This window comes from Homo sapiens, chromosome 20, assembly GCF_000001405.40.
Source record: "Homo sapiens chromosome 20, GRCh38.p14 Primary Assembly".
NCBI classification, from domain to species: domain Eukaryota; kingdom Metazoa; phylum Chordata; class Mammalia; order Primates; family Hominidae; genus Homo; species Homo sapiens.
Genome location: NC_000020.11, coordinates 35,511,177 through 35,531,831, shown reverse-complemented (window position 1 = coordinate 35,531,831; position 20,655 = coordinate 35,511,177). Strand labels below are relative to the sequence as shown.

At 49.6% G+C, this 20,655-nt stretch overlaps 2 protein-coding genes across 35 annotated transcripts in view; one reads left to right on the top strand and one right to left on the bottom strand.

The window, feature by feature from the left end:
* Window positions 1-2,179: 2,179 nt before the first annotated feature.
* On the top strand, window positions 2,180-11,091 carry C20orf173 (chromosome 20 open reading frame 173). Of its 10 annotated transcripts, none has more exons than XM_047439907.1 (12): window positions 2,180-2,273; window positions 2,408-2,767; window positions 2,953-3,131; window positions 3,288-3,381; window positions 3,548-3,599; window positions 4,582-4,786; window positions 8,593-8,823; window positions 8,972-9,159; window positions 9,243-9,441; window positions 9,594-9,642; window positions 9,742-9,861; window positions 10,789-11,025. In XM_047439907.1, the coding sequence occupies exons 2-5, from the start codon at window positions 2,459-2,461 to the stop codon at window positions 3,572-3,574; spliced, it is 609 nt and encodes a 202-aa protein (XP_047295863.1). In that variant the 5' UTR covers window positions 2,180-2,273; window positions 2,408-2,458; the 3' UTR covers window positions 3,575-3,599; window positions 4,582-4,786; window positions 8,593-8,823; window positions 8,972-9,159; window positions 9,243-9,441; window positions 9,594-9,642; window positions 9,742-9,861; window positions 10,789-11,025. The 10 variants fall into 10 exon arrangements, 9 of the variants coding, with proteins under 9 accessions (XP_047295863.1, XP_047295862.1, XP_047295860.1 ...); XM_047439906.1 differs by having other exon boundaries at window positions 10,786-11,025; XM_047439904.1 differs by having other exon boundaries at window positions 10,689-11,025.
* The window catches only part of CEP250 (centrosomal protein 250), a 64,116-nt gene continuing 56,012 nt past the window's right edge, over window positions 12,552-20,655 (bottom strand). For 18 of the 25 annotated variants that reach the window (XM_006723691.2, XM_047439854.1, XM_005260262.5 and 15 more), the window contains one exon: window positions 12,552-20,469. In XM_006723691.2, the coding sequence (XP_006723754.1) occupies window positions 20,206-20,469 (264 nt within the window). In that variant the 3' untranslated portion in view covers window positions 12,552-20,205. 25 annotated transcript variants of the gene reach the window in all.

The following is a 20,655-nucleotide window of genomic DNA, read 5'->3' as shown; positions in this document are numbered from 1 at the left end:
TAAGGGGGTGGCAGTGGAGATGAAGAAGATGACTTAGAAATAGAAACGAATTAAAAAATGGATTTGAGGCCAGACTCAGTGGCTTATGCCTGTAATCTCAGCACTTTGAAAGGCCGAGGAGGGTGGATCACTTGAGCTGAGTTCGAGACAGGGCTGGCACAGTAAACCCCATCTCTACTTAAAAAAAAAAATCAGCAAGGCTCGGTGGCTCACGCCTGTAATTCCAGCACTTTGGGAGGCCGAGGTGGGCGGATTGCTTGAGACCAGGAGATGGAGACCAGCCTAGCCAACACAGTGAAACCCCGTTTCTACCAAAAAAATACAAAAATGAGCCAGGTGTGGTGTTGTGCGCCTGTAGTCCCAGCTACCTGGGAGGCTAAGGCATGAGAATCACTTGAACCTGGGAGGTAGAGGTTGCAGTGAGCCAAGATTGTGCCACTGCACTCCAGCCTGGGCGACAGAGTGAGACTCTGTTTCAAAAATAAATTAAATAAATAAATAAGCCTAGCGTGGTGGCACACTTCTGTAGTCCCAGCATCTTGGCAAGCTGAGGTGAAAGGATTGCTTGAACCTTGGAGGCAGAGGCTACAGTGGGCTAAGATTGTGCCACTGCACTCCTGCCTGGGTGACAGAGTGAGACTTTGTCCTAAAAAAAAAAAAAAAAAAAGAATTTGGGTATCATAGGAGTAGGAGGAATTAATAACACATGAGTTCTGGTTTCAATAACTGGGTACGTGGTGGAACCATTTGTTGAGATAGAGAAGTTTTGAAGCTGGGTGCAGTGGCTCACGCCTGTAATCCCAGTACTTTGGGAGGCCGAGGTGGGCAGATTACCTGAGGTCAGGAGTTTGAGATCAGCCTGGCCAACATGGTGGAATCCCGTTTGTACCAAAAATACAAAAAATTAGCCGGGCTTGGTGGCACGCACCTGTAATCCCAGCTATTCGGGAGGCAGAGGCAGGAGAATTGCTTGAACCCCGGAGGAGGCAGAAGTTGCAGTGAGCTGAGATTGCGCCACTGCACTCCAGCCTGGGTGACAGAGCAAGACTCTGTCTCAAACAAAACAAAAGAGACAGAGAAGTTTTGGGAAGGGTTGGTTTACAGGGAAAATCCTGGGTTCAGTCTCAGGCTTATTCAGGTGAGATGTCTCTGAGCCATCTAAGTGGCAATTCAGTAGGCTGTTGGATATGGGGTCTAGAGACTACAAGAGAGGATTGAGTTGATGTCACACAACTCCAGAGAGGGCATCACACACAAGTATATTTAAAGTTCCAGGCTGGGGCGGGGTGCAGTGGCTCATGCCTGTAATCCCAACACTTTGGGAGGCCAAGGCGGGCGGATCACCTGAGGTCAGAAGTTCGAGATCAGTCTGACCAACATGGGGAAACCCCGTCTCTACTAAAAATACAAAAAAATTAGCCAGGCGTGGTGGCGGGCACCTGTAATCCCAGCTACTTGGGAAACCGAGGCAAGAGAATCACTTAAACCCGGGAGGTAGAGGGTGCAGTGAGCCGAGATCGTGCCTCTGCACTCCAGCTGGGGCGACAAGAGTGAAACTCCGTCTCAAAATAATAATAATAATAATAATAATAATAATAATAATAATAATAATTTAAAAATAAAGTTCCCGGCTGGGCATGGTGGTTCACGCCTGTAATTCCAGCACTTTGGGAGGCTGAGGTGGGCGGATCACTTGAGGTCAGGAGTTTGAGACCAGCCTGGCCAATATGGCGAAACCCTGTCTCCACTAAAAATATAAAAATTAGCCAGGCGTGGTGGCGCATGCCTGTAGTCCCAGCTACTTGGGAGGCTGAGGCATGAGAATCGCTTGAACCAGGCAGGCGGAAGTTGCAGTGAGCCAAGATCATGCCACTGCACTCCAGCCTGGACAACAGAGCAAAAACTCCATCTCAAAAAAAAAAAAAAAAGTTCCCTCTCAACCCCTGTTTATTTATCCCATAAATATTTATTAAATGATTCTAAGTCTTAGAGCTGCAGAGGTGAAGAAGAGAGACTAGGTCAGCCCCTGTCCTCATGAATCTTACATCCAGTGGAGGTCATTTCGGTGTCAGAGAAAGGGTAGGGTGGTGGCTTTTTTCAGGCAGGCTAAAGGAGGGAGGTCACAATGTGTACTTTGTGATGAGATCTATGATATAACTGGGATGACAGCAAGGCCCCCACTGAGGTATTCCTTCCCCTCTCAGGACTAGCCACATGCTGTCTCTCTGCCCTGGCCTCTTCCACCCCATGCCCAGTCAGAGACCGTTTTGAGGGTGAGCAAATGGATAGTGAGGCAGGAGAGGAGGGGTTGGAAGGAGGTGGAAGGTGGTGGGATGGGGAGTTGTGGAGGCCGACAGGACAGAGGGAAGCTGGTGCTGTCTGTGGCCTCAGCCCCTCATCCTTACAGGTAGAGAAGCCAGTCTACGGCCCACCACGGGAGCCACCGCCTGGGCCAGACATGAAGCGCTGGCAGATTTTTGTCCTGTGGGTCTTTTGGGTGCTCATCCTCTGGCTGATGACCCCCTATCTGGATCTGACACCTGAATCAGCACCCCAGGAAAAACGAATGTACTTGGTACCACAGCATTGCGACTGCCCTTGGTTCAGTTCCGGGAAGTGTGGCTGCCCTTCTGAGACCCTCAACTGCTCCTCCTGCCACCACACAGCCGACGAATGGAACTGGCTTGATGCGTGCTCCAGGAAGACTATGGGGTACCTGATGAGGACAAGAGAGTCTATGACCTCTGACACTGTGCTCTGGTGGTTGGTCAGTGGTCAACACTGGGCCCGGCCATATCCCCCATGCTTTCCGGGCCTCACCCATCTCCCACTTTCCGCCCAAATCCCTGCCCTTGGCCCTGTCTTCACAGCCTCTGGATGGAGATCTCACCCACCCAGCTCTGTTTTCTCTCCCCTGGGCCCAGCCCCCAATCTCCCTCTTGCTGTTTCCAGGGCATGAACTCAGGGAGCGAGCTTGGGAAATTGTGGAGGAAGCTGTTTAAAGGGATTCCCAGGCTCTCGGTGAGCCATTTTGATTTCTATTGTGGGACTTGTGTGCTGTTGGGGCGCCCACAGATCCCGCAGGGCTCCAGCCTTGGCAACGACATCGACCAATACCCCGTGGTTTTCAGGTGGGTGCTGGGGAGAGGGCGGGAGCAGGAAGGCCAGGCCTGCCCCACAGTTCCATCAGTTTCTGCTCCCCTTCCCAAGATGAAGCAGGCCCCAAGTCCAGGGCTTTGAGATGGACGTGGGGAACCAAACCACACACAATGCTTCATCTATCCCAGGAATGCCAGCGACCAGGGCTCCTGGATGCAGCTGGAGATGCTACTGCGGAAGCTCTCTGACCTGGTGTGGACTTCAGATGCTCTAAGTGATAAGGTGATGGAGGTGTCCCCAGACATTCTCTGTGTGGGGGTGAGGGGAGGTCACTGCAGGGAGTAACAGCAGGGGCTCTGGGAAGACCTTCTATTGGCTTACTGGGGACACTTGCAGGACTTTCCCAGGTCTTGTGGCCCAAACTCCCCCACCTCCAATTCTTTCTCAGATTTTGGAAGATGGTCTGGTTCCCTAGTGGAGTGGAAGATAGCAAAGACACGGTGAGGGGGAATAGGAAAAGGGGTAGGATGTGGCTGTGGGTTGCTGTGGGAAGGGCCCCAGGTCAGTTCCCTCCCCCTTCCTCCCCAGGTGCAACCAGGACAACTGGCTGTCTTACCAGGGTCAGGGTCATCCCTGGGGCCCAAGGCTTTGTTCTGTGTCTTGCACAACTGTGCCCCGGCAGGAAAGATTCTTGTATCTTCTTCTCTTAAAATTCCTGCTCCTCAATGCCTTCAGCATGGAGTCTAAAGTTTTCTGCCTGGCTTTCAAGACTCTACATGTAGGCCAAGCGTGGTGGCTCATGCCTGTATCCCAACACTTTGGGAGGCTGAGGCGGGTGGATCATGAGGTCAGGAGTTCGAGACCAGCCTGGCCAATATGGTCAAACTCCATCTCTACTAAAAATACAAAAAATAGCCAGGCATGGTGGTAGCCTCATCTCTACTAAAAATGCAAAAAATAGCCAGGCATGCCTGTAGTCCCAGCTACTCGGGAGGCTGAGGTAGAAGAATCGCTTGAACCCGGGAGGCAGAGGTTGCAGTTAGCCGAGATTGCGCCACTGCACTCCAGCCTGGTGACAGAGCGAGACTCCATCTCAGAAAAAAAAAAGACTATACATGTTCTGACTCCTCCCCTTGCCTCCTGTCTCCCAGGCTCCCATAATGGGCTCTTAGAATTCCCCAGACACATGAGCTGCCTCATGCCTTCTCTCGCACCATTCCGTTTGCCTGGAATGCCCTTCTCTTACGTCCTGGGGGTTCCCCTCTCTTCCTCCAATACCATGAGGAAAAGTGAGTTGACATTCTCTTTTTTGGGATCCTCAGTGACTCTAGGAGAGTGTCCAGAGTCTGTTTCCTGGAGGTGAGCTCCAGTCTCCTCCCAGCTCCCAGGGACAACCTGTCATCCTAGATGCTGAGTGAAGGGAGGCAGGGGTGAGGACAGGAGTCTGCCTGCTGACGCACATGTCCCTCTCTTATCCACTAGGTCACCCTCTTTGGATTTGGATCAGAATAGCAAGGAAAGTGTTTCTATCACTGGAAGGAGGATAATCAGACCAAGGGCTCCAAGGAAATACTGCCCACGTCTAGTGCAGGAGCAGAAATCGAAGTCATCCATCAGCTAGCGTGTGGACAAGCTCACTATTCACACAAGCTCAGCCTAGCTGAGTCCATACAAATCCTATTTCTGGGTGGGTAAAGGGCAGGAGGAAATTGTAAGATCAGTCTGGTACTGAATAAAATCCTGGCCTGATTGTCTTACCTGTAACCACAGTGTCTGGGAGGGATGGGCCAGAGGTGCCTTCCAGATCTCAGGGGCAATATTTGAGTTGATTTCTTTGCCTAGTGCCCTGGATCATGTAGGAGGTATAAGTTTAGATTCAATTTCATGCCAAGTGCAAACCCAGACTTTGAGTTGTTGGGGGAGGCTCTTTACCCACTTCGATAAAAGAAGTAAACCTCCTTGTTTCACCCATGCCGGAGGGTGAGGGTTGTTTTTTGTTTTTTGTTTTTTTGCCCAGCTTTTCACAGAAGGTTTAGCATTTTGAGGTTCCCAGTTTTTTTAGGTGCCTCAGTTCCAATTCGCTTTTTTTTTTTTTTTTTTTTTTGAGACAAGAGTTTGCTGTGTTGCCCAGGCTGGAATGGAGTGGCACAATCATGGCTTATTGCAGCCTCGACCTCCTGGGCTCAAGTGATCCTCCCACCTAAGCCCCCTGAGTAGCTGGGACTATAAATGCATGTCACCACACCCAGTTAATTTTAATTTTTGTTTTTGTAGAAAGGGGGTCTTGCCATGTTGGCCAGGATGGCCTTGAACTCCTAGGCTCAAGCAATCCTACTGCCTTGGCCTCCCAAAGTGCTGGGATTACAGGTGTGAGTCACTGTGCCTAGCACTTACCGTGTCACTTCTGCAGCATTCCATTGGTCAGATCAAGTCATAAAGTGATCCAAGATCCAAGAAGTGGGGAAATGAACTGCTCTTCCTAATGGAAAGAGCTGAAGAGAATCTGCCATAATGAGACTACCACAGTGTCAAGGGCCCAGTTGTGTTGGCAGCAGTGGTGGCATTCCAGGTGGGCCATTCCTGGGGTAGTCTTTGGCCATGTTTTGCATCTCATGATAGACTGAGCCTGGTTCTCTAGCTTTTGCATCATCCTGTAAACTACTAAATATTTAGCCGGCGAATTGTTTTTCTCTGAAGTTTACCAGTCTGTTGACCAAGACCAAGAATCCAACTGCTACAGTTAACAAAGAATAAAAAATCAGACTTTTGGCTGGGCACAGTGGCTCAGACCCAGCATGTTGTGAGGCTGAGGCAGGAGGACTGCTTGTGCCTGGAAAATTTCTGCATAATTCACCCCTTAATTTGCATGTAGTTAAAAGTGGGTATAAATAGGATTGCAGAGCTGCTGCTGAGCTGCTAACTCTGGGCACACTGCCTATGGGGTAGCCCTGTCCACAAGAAGCAGTGTACCTCTGCTGCTGCTGTGCAATGCTGCTTCAATACAGTTTGCTAACACCACTGGATCGCATCAGGGCAAAGCCAAGAACCCTCTCAGGCTAAGCCCCAATTTTGGGGATTGCCTGCCCTGCATCAGAGGCATCACTCCAGTCTCTACCTCCAACTTCACATGGCATACTCCCCTGTGTCTTCTGTTTCCAAATTTCCCTCATCTTTTTTTTTGAGATGGAGTCTTGCTCTTGTCACCCAGGCTGGAGTGCAGTGGCATGATCTCAGCTCACTGCAACCTCTGCCTCCCAGGTTCAAGCAATTCTCCTGCCTCAGCCTCTCGAGTAGCTGGGATTACAGGTGCCCGCCACTACGCCTGGCTAATTTTTTGTATTTTAGTAGAGACTGGGTTTCGCCATGTTGGCCAGGCTGGTCTCAAACTCCTGGCCTCAAGTGACCTGCCTGCCTTGGCCTCCCAAAATGCTGGGATTACAGGCATGGGTCATCACGCCCGGCCAATTTCCCTCATCTTATAAACACACTAGTCATTGGATTAGGGCCCATTCTCATCCAGCATGATCTCATTTTAATTTCATTGTATCTGCAAAGGCCCTACTTCCAAATAAGGTCACATTTATAAGTATCAGGGGTGAGAACATAAAGATTTTTTTTTTTTAAAGTAACACAATTCTACCTCCTGCAAGCAGAATAATGGCGTTTCTAGACATGCAAACTTAGAATGTTTTATCTCCTACACACCCTTTCTTAGAAAGTTACCACGAACAAAAGGCCGGGCACAGTGGATCATGCCTATAATCCCAGCACTTTGGGAGGCCAAGGTGGGTGGATCACCTGAGGTCAGGAGTTCGAGACCAGCCTGACTGATATGATGAAACCCCGTCTCTACTAAAAATACAAAAATTAGCCAGGCATGGTGGTGCACGCCTGTAATCCCAGCTACTCAGGAGGCTGAGACAGGAGAATTGCTTGAACCCGGGAGGCAGAGGTTGCAGTGAGCCGAGATCATGCCATTGCACTCCAGCCTGGGCAACAAGAGCGAAATTCTGTCTCAAAAAAAAAAAAAAAATTATCATGAACAAAAAAAGGTAGTCTTAGTTCATTTACAAACTCTATAGGAAATATTTATCTAGTTACAATAATGTAAACACTAATAGTAGATTGTTGACTTTTAGAATTAAATTAGCCTGTATTTCTGTACCATCCAATATGATGGATGAGCACTTGAAATGCGGCAAATGCAAGTGAGGAAGGAATTTTTAAATTTATTTTAATTAATCTAAATTTCAAAACAATTCAGTTCTTAGAAAACTTTTCACTATGCTTATTGTAACTTGGGTATGTAAATCTTTTTTGACTGTAAAATTTTATGAAATTTATAAATCATGTATTTCTGACAAAACGCTTTGAATTTAGATACACTATAAGTGTAAGATATACACTGGATTGGCCGGGCGCAGTGGCTCAAACCTGTAATCCCAGCACTTTGGGAGGCAGAGGCAGGCAGATCACTTGAGCTCAGGAGTTTGAGACCAGCCTGGCCAACATGGTGAAACCCCGTCTCTGCTAAAAGTAAAAAAAAAATTAGCCGGGCACAGTGGTGTGCACCTGCAGTCCCAGCTACTTGGGAGACTGAAGCAAGAGAACCATTTGAACCCAGGAGGCGGGGGTTGCAGTGAGCCAAGATCTGGGCAACAGAGCAAGATTCCATCTCAAAAAAACAAACAAACAAAAACCACAAAAAAACAGTTCTTAAAAAGAAAAAGTCGACCCCTGAGAGGTGTTAAGGGCTAAAGGTATCAAATATTCTCTTTCATCAGTATAGTAAATTCTCTTCAGAAGATTCCAGGTGGCCCTTCTTGAACTCACGGGCTCAAGTGATCCTCCTGCCTTGGCCTCCCAAAGCTCTGAGATTACAGGTGTGAGCCATCGCCAAGGTGGCCCTTCTGTTTCCCTCTTTGCCTCCTGCTCACCCACCCCAGCCTGGATACAACCTCTCCCTCTGTGCCCTCCTGTCCCCTGGACCCTTGACTACCACACCTCCCTGGTCATCTGGGCACTGGGCTGAATGCCAAGGTGAAGGAGGGGCCTTGGTGGAGTAGGTCACAACGTGGCCTCTGTGATGAGTCCCTGATATCACTGGGCTGGCACAGAAGACCCCATTAGGAATCAGTTTCCTCAGGGAGGCCACAGAACACAAAAAGTGTCCTCTCTCCCTTTCTTTCTGCCTCTAGGCCAGGCTTTGGCAGTTCCAGTAGTGATCAGTAGGTGGCCAGGGAGGCAGGAGCGAGGTTTTGGGAGGAGGTGTAATGTCAAGGGTTGGGAGAGGGATGGAAGCCATTAAGATGGGGGATGCTGGGGACTTCTGTGGCCCCAGCCTCTTCTTCCCGGTGCCAGGTGTCGGGGCCAATCTACTGTCTGCCAGGGGCACCATCATCAGGGCCAGAGATCATGATTCGATACAGGAGTTTGGGCCTGGTGGCTGCCTATGTCCTTTCATTGTGGCTGATCACCTCCTTCCTACACCAGCACTCCAGCCAGAAGGACCTCCGTAATATGGCCAAGATACACCCAGGAATCTGCCACCATCCCAGCAACTTTTCCAGAAAATGCAACTGCTCATCTGAGGTCCACACATGCTCTGCCTGCCTCCACGTGCCTGGCGAGTCTGACTGGTTTGACAGACGCTTCGACAGTACCGTTGAACCCCTACAGAGGCCACAAGATCCCACGTCCAATGATGCTCTGATATTGTGGCTGGTCAGTGCGCAAACTTGGTCTTTGTCCAGTCCCTGACCCAACCCCAGGTCCTAGCCATCTCTCCATCAAGGCCCCAGGCTCTAACCTTCTTCCACAGGTAGGTGGAACCTGGGTCAAGCCCCTAAATTCTTCCCTCCTATGCTCCTAGGGACTCGAGAGGGTCAAGTCAGAGAAGGAGGTTGAGAATAAGCAGCAGCAGCTGATTAAAGCACCTCCCCTGTGCCCACTGGGCCATGTGGTGTCCAACTGCCGGGTCTGTGCAGTGGTGGGAAACTCAAGGTCTCTATGGAGCTCTGGCCTTGGCTTCAGGATTAATCAACATGAAGTGGTCCTCAGGTGGGTGCAGGGTAGGAGGTGGAGACGAAGACCAAGCCGAAGCCTTTTCCTCCTCTAAATGACCATCCTAACTTCCTTTTCAGGATGAACCAGGCCCCTGTCTGAGGCTTTGAGGCAGATGTGGGGAACAGGACCACCATGCGCGTTATGTACCCTGGGATTGCCAGCCCTCAGGACCCCGGTACCCAACTGCTGCTGCTTCCGTTGAATTCATCTGGTCTGGAGTGGTTCATAAGTGTACTGCATAAACAGACAAGCATGTGGAAGCAAAAAAAACCCTGGGTATGTCAGGGAGTGAGGTCACTGTAGGGAGTGACAGAGGTAACTCCAAAGAGACCCTGGCTGGATACTGGGGCACCCCCAAGGCTTACTTAAGGCTGAAGTCTGCTTGTCAAATGACTCTGAAATCCTCCCAAACCTCAATTTCTTTTTAGATTTCAGACGGTTCAGGTTCCTGGTGGAACCGAAGACAGCAAAGATAAGGTGAGGGTCCCAGGAAGGAAAGGGGAAAGTGGTAGGACAACATGATAGTGGGTAGCCATGGGACAGGCTTCAGGTCAGTCCCTTTCTCCATCTTCCTAGGTGCTGGTGATCAGCCTCTACTTCCTCAGGTATATCCAGGAAAGTTGGCTGGAGAACCATGGTCAGTATCCGTCCTTGGAGTTTGTGGCTCTGTTGTATGCCTTGCATACCTGTGACCAGGTAAGATATCTCCTGCAACTCACGGACTTTCACTCCTCTGCCACTCAAAATTTCTGTCTTCTTGGCTGGGCATGGGGGCTCACGCCTGTAATCCCTGCACTTTGGGAGGCTGAGGCGGGCTGATCACCTGAGGTCAGGAGTTCGAGACCAGCCTGACCAACATGGAGAAACGCCGTCTCTACTAAAAATACAAAATTAGCCAGGCGTGGTGGCGCATGCCTGTAATCCTAGCTACTTGGGAGGCTGAGGCAAGAAAATCGCTTGAACCTGGGAGGCGGAGGTTGCGGTGAGCCAAGATCATGCCACTGTACTCCAGCCTGGGCAACAAGAGCAAAACTCCATCTCAAAAAAAAAAAAAAAATCTGTCTTCCCAAGGACTTCCCGTTAAATCTAAAACTTTCTGCCTAGCTTTCAACACCCTACATGATCTGACCCCTCTCCTCTCTCCCTCTCCTCTCTCCCAGATTCCCGCACTGGACTTCTTGGGGTTCTCCAAACATACCAGCTGCCTCACGCCTTCTCACACCTTGCTCCCTCTGCCTGGAATGCCCTTCCCTTGTCTCCCAGGGGAATCCTCTCTTCTCTCAATATATAATGAAGAACAACTAGTTGGTGCTCTCTTTTCTGGGCTCTGGGGTCACTATGAGTATTTAGAGTCTGTCTTCCTTGAAGAAGGTGAACTCCATTCTCCTCCCAGCTCCAAGAGGAAGCCTGGCACACTAGTGGTTGAGTGAGTGGTGCTGAAGGCATGATAGGTGTTCCATGGGGGCAGGGCAGGATCCAGCCCGTTACACCACCACCATCTTTTGTCTTATCCAATCTCTCAGGTATCCTTGTTTGGTTTTGGGGAAGACAATTGCAAAAGGTGGTCCCATTACTGGGATGACAAATATTGGTTTGAGAACACCATGCAAAATTTCCCAGCAGAATACCAGATCATCTTGAAACTGCAGTGTGAGAGGAAGATTGCTGTCTACGGCTGAGATGTTTCCAGTGGAGTCCCCAGGAGGCTTGACAGGTAGCCAAGGGGACCTTGTGGTGTCAGAGAGGGACTAGGGCTTCAAGCAGACCCTGGATGGAGATTACTCTGCTACTGAATAAAACCCTAGCTTATTTCTCTCTCTGGATTTCTGGTGGCATTAAAGGGCTACATTCTATTACTGATTCTGTCTTATCACCATGTGACTCTCTTATGTTGTATCTTACCAAAAAATAAAATTAAATGAGAAAAAAGTGAACCCTGAAGTTGAAAACACATCAAATGGACCTAACTATATTTAATTGATAATATAAACACCAGAGAAATAATTATTTCAAGTTCCTTAAACTCAACACCTTGATTGTATATTCTTTGTAGGATAGTCTCTGTGGACAAAAAGAACTAAGAAGAAATTTTAGGCCAGGCGCGATGGCTCACACTTGTAACCCCAGCACTTTGGGAGGCCAAGGCGGGCAGATTATGAGGTCAGGAGGTCAAGACCAGCATGACCAACATGGTGAAACCCCATCTCTACTAAAAATACAAAAATTAGCTAGGCGTGGCGGTGTGTGCCTGTAATCCCAGCTACTCAGGAGGCTGAGGCAGGGGAATCGCTTGAACCTGGGAGGTGGAGGTTGCAGTAGCCGAGATCGCACCACTGCACTCCAGCCTCGGCGACAGAGTGACACTCTGTCTCAAAAAAAAAAATTTTTTTTTAAACTTGACTCAGTATTTTCATTATAGTGCTGGTATTATTATTATTATTTAGAGACAGAGTCTCACTCTGTCACCCAGGATAGAGTGCACTGGCATGATCACGGCTCACTGCAACCTCTGCCTCCTAGGCTCAGGTGATCCTTCCACATCAGCCTTCTGAATGGTTGGCACTATTGGTGCGTGCCACCACCCTCAGCTAATTTTTAAATTTTCTTGTAGAGTTGAGGTCTCACTATATTGCCCAGGCTGGTCTTGAATAAGTAAATAACTACTTATATTAACAACATTAGAAACTAGACACAGGCCAGGTGTGGTGGCTCACGCCTGTAATGCCAGCACTTTGGGAGGCCAAGGGAGGTGGATCACTTGAGGTCAGGAGTTCAAGACCAGCCTGGCCAACATAGTGAAACTCCATCTCTACTAAAAATACAAAAATTTGCCAGGTGTGGTGGAGGCTGCCTGTAATCACAGCTACTTGGGAGGCTGAAGTAGGAGAATCACTTGAGTCTGGGAGGCAGAGGTTGCAGTGAGCTAAGATCGCACTATTGTACTCCAGCCTAGGTGACAAAGTGAGACTTCATCTCAAAAAAAAAAAAAAAAAAAAGAAACAATACAAAATTGGGCAGGTGGACAGGCTAAAAACTCTGTGACATTAAATTCAATCTGGAATTTTTTTTTTTTTTTTTTTTTTTTTTGAGACAGTGTCACTCTGTCGCCCAGGCTGGAGTGCAGTGGCGCGATCTCGGCTCACTGCAACCTCCGCCTCCCGAGTTCAAGTGATTCTCCTGTTTCAACCTCCTGAGTAGCTGAGATTACAGGCGCGCACCACCACGCCCGGCTAATTTTTGTATTTTTAGTACAGACAGGGATTCACCATGTTGGTCAGGCTGGTCTCGAACTCCTGACCTTGTGATCCACCCACCTCAGCCTCCCAAAGTGCTGCGATTACAGGCATGAGCCACCGTGGTCGGCCCAAACTGGAAATATTATGAACTCGATTTTCAAACTTTTTATTGTGACAAAATAATACACAAAATTTACCATTTAAAAGTTATCAATGGCAATAAAGTTCAGTGGCATTAAGTATGTTCACATTGTTGTGCAATCATAACCTCATTGAACTAACAGTTTACAAAGTACATTTTCTCCCTCTGTCATCTGAACAGCCATAACACTCCATTAGCAACGATCAGCCCTGCAATCCAGATTATGTTTTTTGTTTTTCGTATTTTTTTTTTTTTTGAGACGGAGTCTTGCTCTGCCACCCAGGCTGGAGTGCAGTGACGCGATCTCAGCTCACTGCAACCTCTGCCTCCTGGGTTCAAGCAATTCTCCTGCCTCAGCCTCCTGAGTAGCTGGGACTACAAGGTGCACACCGCCACCCCCGGCTAATTTTTTGTATTTTAGTAGAGACGGGGTTTCACCATGTTGCCCAGGCTGGTCTCCAACTCCTGAGCTCAGGCAATCCGCCTGCCTCAGCCTCCCACAAGTGCTAGGATTACAGGCGTGAGCCACTGCACTCAGCCTGATTTTTGTCTTCTAAATACTTTTTCTTCACTAAAAGATTCTAGGCCTAGACAAGTACAAGAACACTTGGACATTAGATTTGCGGCAATTTGAGCATCAAAAATAGCAACTGTCATGATTGAATCATAGTGAATATATAAAAAACTTTGAGCTCATAATGATACTCAAAGAGAAAGGGAAAACTGGCGGTGGCTATTACCTCAACCCCTTACTCTGAAAATTGGTAATTAAAGGTGTGTGTTGAGGGAGCATTTATCCTGCCTTTTTGGTAGAAACAGTAGTTCAGGGTAACCAAATAGCCTCAGTAAATGAGTTTCCAGTTACTGTGTATCTAAAACAAATATCCACCGCATGCTACCCCCTTGGCTGCTCAACTACCACACACAACCTAACAAAATGCAAATATCCCACATAAACCGACATCCCTGACACATTGTGGTGCACCAGGTGTCTAGGAATGAGGTAGCTCAGAGTCAGGATCCGAGAATCCCCAAAGGTGTAGGTAGTGCGGCCTCGTGTCCAGATACTGGACCCGTTATGGCACCACATAGACAAGTTACTATTTTAGAGGAATAAAGTGAGCCAGTAGAAAAACATAGTTAAAAAAAAAACAAAACCCGCTGCCTCTGAAGAGGAGTTTGAGAAGAATGAGGTGGGAAACTGCTATCTTCTTTTTATTTAATTTCCTTTTTTTTTTTTTTTGAGACAGTCTTGCTCTGTTGCCCAGGCTGGAGTGAGTGCAGTGACATGATCATGGTTCACTGCAACCTTGACCTCCCTGGGCTCAGGTGATCCTCCCACCTCAGCCTCCCGAGTAGCTGGGACTACAGGCACATCATCACACTGAGCTAATTTTTATATTTTTTCGCTTAGGATGGTCTTGAATTCCTGAGCCCAAGCAATCTGCCTGCCTGGGCCTCCCAAAGTGCTGGGATTACAGGCGTGAGCCCCCAAGCCCGGCACTGTTTAACTTCTTTAATTTTTTTTTTTTTTTTGAGACAGGGTCTCACTTTTATCACTCAGGCTGGAGTGCAGTGGTATGATCTCGGCTCACTGCAGCCTTGACCTTCCAGGTTCAAGCGATCCTCCTGCCTCAGCCTCCCAAGTAGCTGGGACTACAGGCACGCACCATCATTCCTAGCTAAAATGTCTTAACCACGTACATGCACTTGTTTCATTTTAAATAGATGACAAGAAAGTCTACCAAAGAAAAAAGTTTGGATGCATGGGAAATTTATTTTTAACCCTCTTACATTTTCCTATAGATTCTATCCTCAAGAGGAACCAAAAAGCTCTTGCTTTTCTCTCCCTGCCTCCAGCTTGACAACCCTACACTGTGAATAGGCAGCTCCTCTCTCAGATATACAACATGCCAGCTTTGGCACAGGGTGGTGCCCCTTTTCATTCTTATCTCCATCACCCTTGATTGCCAAGCCTTCCCTTGGCAGCTGGACCCTGGGCTGAACACCAAGATGAAGGACTCTATTGGGCATCGACCCCTTAATCAACCCCAGGGAGGACACAGGACACATTGAATGCCACCTCTCCTCTTAGCTTTCAGCCCAGCCTTTAGCAGGGCACCCTTGAGGACTGAATAGGTCCAGAGGGAGGCAGGAGCTAAGGTGCTGGAAGGAGGTGTTCTGCGGACGGTTGAGGAAGGGATGGAGGCCAACAGGAGAGGGGAATGTAGAGTCTGTGACCATGGCTTCCCACTTTTCTCAGTGCCCGGTGTCTGAGTCAGCATGCCACTTGCCATGTGCTCTGCCCTGTGGGACAAGAATGTAGCCTTCAATGGGGGGGTTTGAGCTTATGCTCACCTGTGGCTGACGTTTCTGCCGTCTGCTCAGAGGTCTAACCTGAATGAATGGATAACACCTGCCATTGCTTCTGGATGTACCCCTGGACTCCACACAACCCGTGCATCCAACTGGCTTGACACTTTGAAAGGGCCTTCAAGCCCTCTCTTTGTCCAAGATGCTCTGTTTGACTCTCCCTGGCCTCACTGAGAGCAGCCAGTGGGTCTCTTCTGCACAACTGGGTCATTCTGCAAACTTTCATCTGTGTCCAGGTTCTGTGTGCCTAGAGGTGAGCTCCTTCTCAGAGATCCCTGTGGAGCTTTGTTTAAATGAGTATTTGCCAAATGACTGAATAGCTGGGGCAGGAGCAGCAGCTAGCCAATCTCATTCACCAGGTAATGGAGTCAGGCAGACAAACTTCAGATGGCCCTTATACAGGGAAGAGAGTTATAGCCAAAGGCTCCAGCATGAATCATCAAACCACATACAACAGCAGAAGCCGAGGCCATCAGTCAGCTAGAATGTGAGACTACTCCTGGCCAGCAATCTGACCTGCAGGGCTGGAATGTTCATAGATACGGGAGAGGTTTTGATAGGAAACCAAGACAGGAGGTGCAAGGGCAATGTGTGGATTATTAATCTGGCCTTCCCTGATTCCCTCACCTGAACAACTGGTAGTAATTAAGAAAGAATCACATTTGAATATGAATTCTCGTCCCCCTCCCTGGCTCTAAATAAATGGCCATGTGCTGGGAATAGGGGTTACCCACTCTCTCAGATGACACATCACACAGCCTTGGCAGAGACTCATCTCTCCTCCTACCCCTGACCCATTCAATTATTTTACCTCCAAGCCCATCCACCTGAGCCAAGGTTCAGGCCCTATAAGGGCATATATAGAGCTGGTAGTATTGCCAATGAAAGGCTAAGAAGAGGTCAGAGTGTCCACCCTGTGACCAGGCTACTGATGTAATGAGTTGGGTGAGATCAACTGGCCAGGAGCACAGTCCAACGAAGTCTCACCTCTCATCCTCACCTCCAGCAGGGTAGAGGGAGTAAAAGGGCCTCAGGACCCCATGTTTTTGCCCTTCATCCTCCCTTGCCTGCTTCTTAAGTGTGGTGAGCAGAGTTGAGCTTGCACTCCTCCTCAGCTGTGCCCAGAATCATGTGGAGGGCTCTCTTGGTTTGGAGCACACTGGCAGCTCTTGCTTCTTCCTCTTCCCTGCCCCTGTCCCCTGGCCCCATTCCCCCGCTCTGCAGAGTACTGGGTCAGAAGGCAGGAGGTGAGGTATTGCAGGGTGGACAGCTGAAGGTATCATCTACCCCAAGGCCAAACTAAAAAAACCAGGAATCTGTCCCATGGGCTGAGATGAGGCCTGCAGGCAAAGCCTCAGGCCTGGAAGTCAGCTCACTGCTTTTGTGGCTGGGGTTTCCCACCCCACAGGTACTTCTAGAAGTTCTGCCACTGGCCCCAGAGCTGCAGAGGTTCTGTGGCTGCTCAATTCAGCCCCGCATCTACAAAGCCTGCCTTCACCAGCATGGTGTGTCTGCCTGGTTTGATCAGCACTTCAGATGGGCCCTGAAGCCCCGATGCAACTGGAGACCACGCCATCTCCAGAGGCCGGTGGATGCTCGGTCCTGGGCTCTGGGCTGCATCCTCTTCTTGATCCCTTCCTCCGCTGGGCCTCCAGTTGCAATGGCTCCAGCCTTTCCTTGGTACTGGAACCAGGGGTGAGTGATAAACAGTCTGTGTTCTTCTCCATAGGCACCAATGCTAGGACACCTAACCCAATTCCGGCTGGTCAAGAAGCTACTCCAACCGATCCCCAGGTCACAGCTAGACCCCGAGCTCCGACTCTGCCAGTCCTGGGCCATGCGTATTTGGAATATAGGATAACCATCACTGAGCACCACACTGTGCTCAGGTGGGGGCAGAAGGGTGAGGGTGGGAAGCAGCACCACTCTGTGAGCCCCAGTGCCTTCCTATCTCTGTAGAATAAAACAGGGCCTATTCTGGGCTTTAAGAATAACGTGGACAACAGAACTCCCCTGCACTTAAAGCACCCCGAATACTCATGGCCTGCATGAGAACACCCACATGCTGTGGGTGTCGAAGCCTCCAGACCTAGTGTGGACTGCAATGGTTTTATCAGGCGGTATGACCAGTGGGGGCCCCAGACCTGGCGCAGACAGCCTTTGGCACTTTGGTGTCAACATTGATCTTGCCCTCCCTGTGCAGCCTGTAACTGTACACTCCCCACCCTCCTTATCTCAACATACACCACCAGCTTCTCCTCCTTTAACGGGTACATTCAGTTTTTCTGCCTTCAGGGTGCTGGCAGTCCCATGTGGGAAGCAGAGCAGCAAAGGTCCTTGGGTTGGGAGGTGATGGTCACTGCTCTAACACACAAAGCACGTGGGATCCTTGAGAGAACAGGGGCAGCACCCGCCGGACCTCAGCACTCCCCGGAAACAAGAACATTGCCCAGCCTCTGACGACTCTTGTCCCCTCCTGCTTTCAGGCCTTTCCAGCCAGTACCAGCTTCTATCAAAGCAGACAAGATTAGGAAGGGGGAAAAAAGTTTTCTGCAAGAAGATAATCTCTGTGGCTGAGCTCTAACCTCTACTCCTGCATGTTCTGGTGGCCAATTGCACCTTCCTCAAGTACATCCACGAGAACTGGCTGGACTGCCAGGGACTCCTCCCGTCTGCTGGATTCACCATTCTGGTTATACCCTGCCACATGTGACAAGGTCAGGAAAGGAGGCTCCGGCCTCATGCCCTTAGGCAAAGTTGGGTCCCCCCTGGATGACACATATTCCTTCCTTCACACTTCCCCACTTCAGGTCTCTTTGGGTCTGGAGCTGATGAAAACAGCAGTTGTCACCATTATTGGTGGGACACTCCACAGAGGCAATCCTGCTACTGGGCAAGGAAAGTGTACTTTAGAAAGCCGGAGTGGAAGATCATCCACAAGCTCGAGTGTGAGGGCAAGAGCACAGTCTACACTTGAACTGAAGGCCAGCCCTGCTCTGAATATCTGGTGGGGAGGGGAGACCCTAGGCCGAGGTCTATAATGGAGCTGGGGGGCTCTTGAGGGTTGGATGGAAAGAGAAGAGCAAATACAGATTAGTCTAGTCCTGAATAAAGACCCTGCTTGGCAGCCTCTAAGATGTCTTTCAGCTGCTGGAACCTCTCTGAGGCCCAGAAGGTATGTGGGGCCTAAGGCCCTGGCTCATGACCTACAGAAAATGATGCTGAGAAGAAACTCTAAGGTAAAAAACAGGGACCCTCTGTCAGCCCGAGCCTGAGAACCAGGGCTGGAGGATGTAACAAGTGAACAACCAAGAGAAGTCTTGTCTCTGACAACTCCTAGCATAAAAATGGCCTAAAGGGCCGGGCGCGGTGGCTCATGCCCGTAATCCCAACATTTTGGGAGGCCGAGGTGGGTGGATCACCTGAGGTCGGGAGTTCGAGACCAGCCTGATCAACATGGAGAAACCCTGTCTCTACTAAAAATACAAAATTAGCCGGGCATGGTGGCACGTGTCTATAATCCCAGATACACAGGAGGCCGAGGCAGGAGAATTGCTTGAACCCAGGAGGTGGATGTTGCCACTGGTGAGCCGAGATTACGTCACTGCACTCCAGCCTGGGCAACAAGAGCAAAACTCTGTCTCAAAAAAAAAAAAAGGAAAAAGAAATAAATGGCCTAAAAGCCAGGTAAGGATTTTAAGCTACAGGGAATCTGACTGGAAATAGGGACCAGGACAGCATTTCTGGGGCCCCAGATCTGTTTCTGGGGTTTCAGAAGTTTTCACTAAGCATCTGTTGCTGAGCTGCATGTGTAGGTTTCTGGAACAAAGCTCTAGTCGCTGTGAACAGCCCCATTTCCACTCTGTGTGGTGCAATGAGACATAATGGGGCTGAGCCCCAAATTAGGAGGTCTGGGTGAGTGGGTGCTGCTCTTACCCCTCCCAGATTCTTGGCTAGGTCTCAGTTCCATCCCCAGGCTTAGTAAAGAGGAATTCCAGATTATGGTGGGAGTGCCAGAGGAAGGTAATGGCCTGCTTCTTTAAGGAAAACTGTTCTGGTTGGGCATGGTGGCTCACACCGGTAATCCCAGCACTTTGAGAGGTTGAGGTGGGAGGATCACTTGAGCCCAGGAGTTTCAGGCTGCAGTAAGATGTGATTGTGCCACTGCACTCCAGCTTGGAAGACAGGACAAAACCCTGTCTCTTAAAAAAATTAAACAATTTTTAGGCTTTGAGGAGGTTGCCAGCAATAGGTCTTAAGCCTGTGAGCTGGGTTCTGTCCAGCCTCCACTAGGACCAGTCCATGGGTGAGAAGTTCCGCCATAGTCCATCCTTCTGATTGGCTTGACACATGGTTGGACTACAGGCGACCAGATCAGTTCCAGCTGATATGCCCAGGAAGCGACATCTCAAGGACATTCACCCAGAGTAGAAGAGGAATGAGGCCATGTGGAGCTTCTGAACTCAGAGACTCTGACTTTAGCTAAAGGTCAACGCTGTGTTTTTGAGGCCCCAGAACTTCTTTTAACCCTCCAAAATCTCCCCGCTCAACCCACCCAAGCTCAGCCCCAACCCCCTGCCACAGTCAGACCAGTCTTCTCACTGTGTGCTTGGCAACACCTCCAACCCCACTCCATCTTTCAAGGGCCAGTTCGTGCCTCCCTTCCTCAGCCCCTGGAATTTCTACAGTTCTTCTAGTCAGTACACAGAATTGCCTCTGACTCATAAATGAGTGTTAGCCTGTTCTCATCAACTGGACTGTAGGCTGTCTGTGGACAGGGGCTTTGTCTTGTGTGTTCTCTGTAACCCTTCCCTATCACAGTGCATGGTGTACAATAAATGCATGCTACCTCAACAGGAATCTTTGGCAAGTTCTTCCCAGATAAACTCCCTTGATGTGGTGCTGCCACCCAGCTGCACAAGTGGAGACAGCAGCAGAAAATGAATGCAAAGATCCCAGGGTTTATTGTTGAAGGAGAAGATGAAGGAGGTGGTGAAGTGCTAGGAAAATAAATTCTAGATGAGAGGCAGTACATGTCCCTCAGCCAGGGCAAGGCACCCCTCTGGGTGATTCCATAGGGAGCAAGCAAATGCAATTTGCCTCATTCCCAGGTGAGTTGGGGTCCTCCCCAGGGTTGCAGATTTACTTCCTCTTCCTGGGAACACCCGCCGACCTGGGGCTCCTGGGTGCCTAACAGAGCCAGGCTTTTCCTTTGGCAAACCTGTAGGTGTGCGGAGGGGCCATGACCCATGACACAGTCTTCTGTCTGTGTGCTCCTGGCTGTGGCTGCTACCTGGAGGCGGCTTGGGTAGTGCTGGGGCTGGGGTGTAGCAGGACTGGCCCTGGGGATGTCAGACTTTGAGTCAGGGACTCATCCAGCCTGCGGGTCTCTGCCTCCAGGACAGTGGCCTCAGGGGCCTGGGCCACGGCAAGAAGTGAGTGTGAGAGGCTGTGGTGCAGGCCTGCTAGCTCACGGCTGGTCTGTGCTGAGCGGGTGATGTAGTCCTGCTTCTGCTTCCGCTCCAAAGTCAGCTGAGCTTGCAGCAGGACCACCTGGTGGGCAGGAAAAAAAAAAAAAAGCGAGAGCAGCTGAGGGCCCTGAAGTTGTCCCAGCTCTTCCTGCTCTGTGTTCTCTGAAGCTCGTTGGCTGATCATCTGAATCAACTCTACCACATACACGAATCTCAGAAACAGGCTGTAGAGAGTTTAGAGGAAGGGCCCTTAGGAATTCTAGAATCC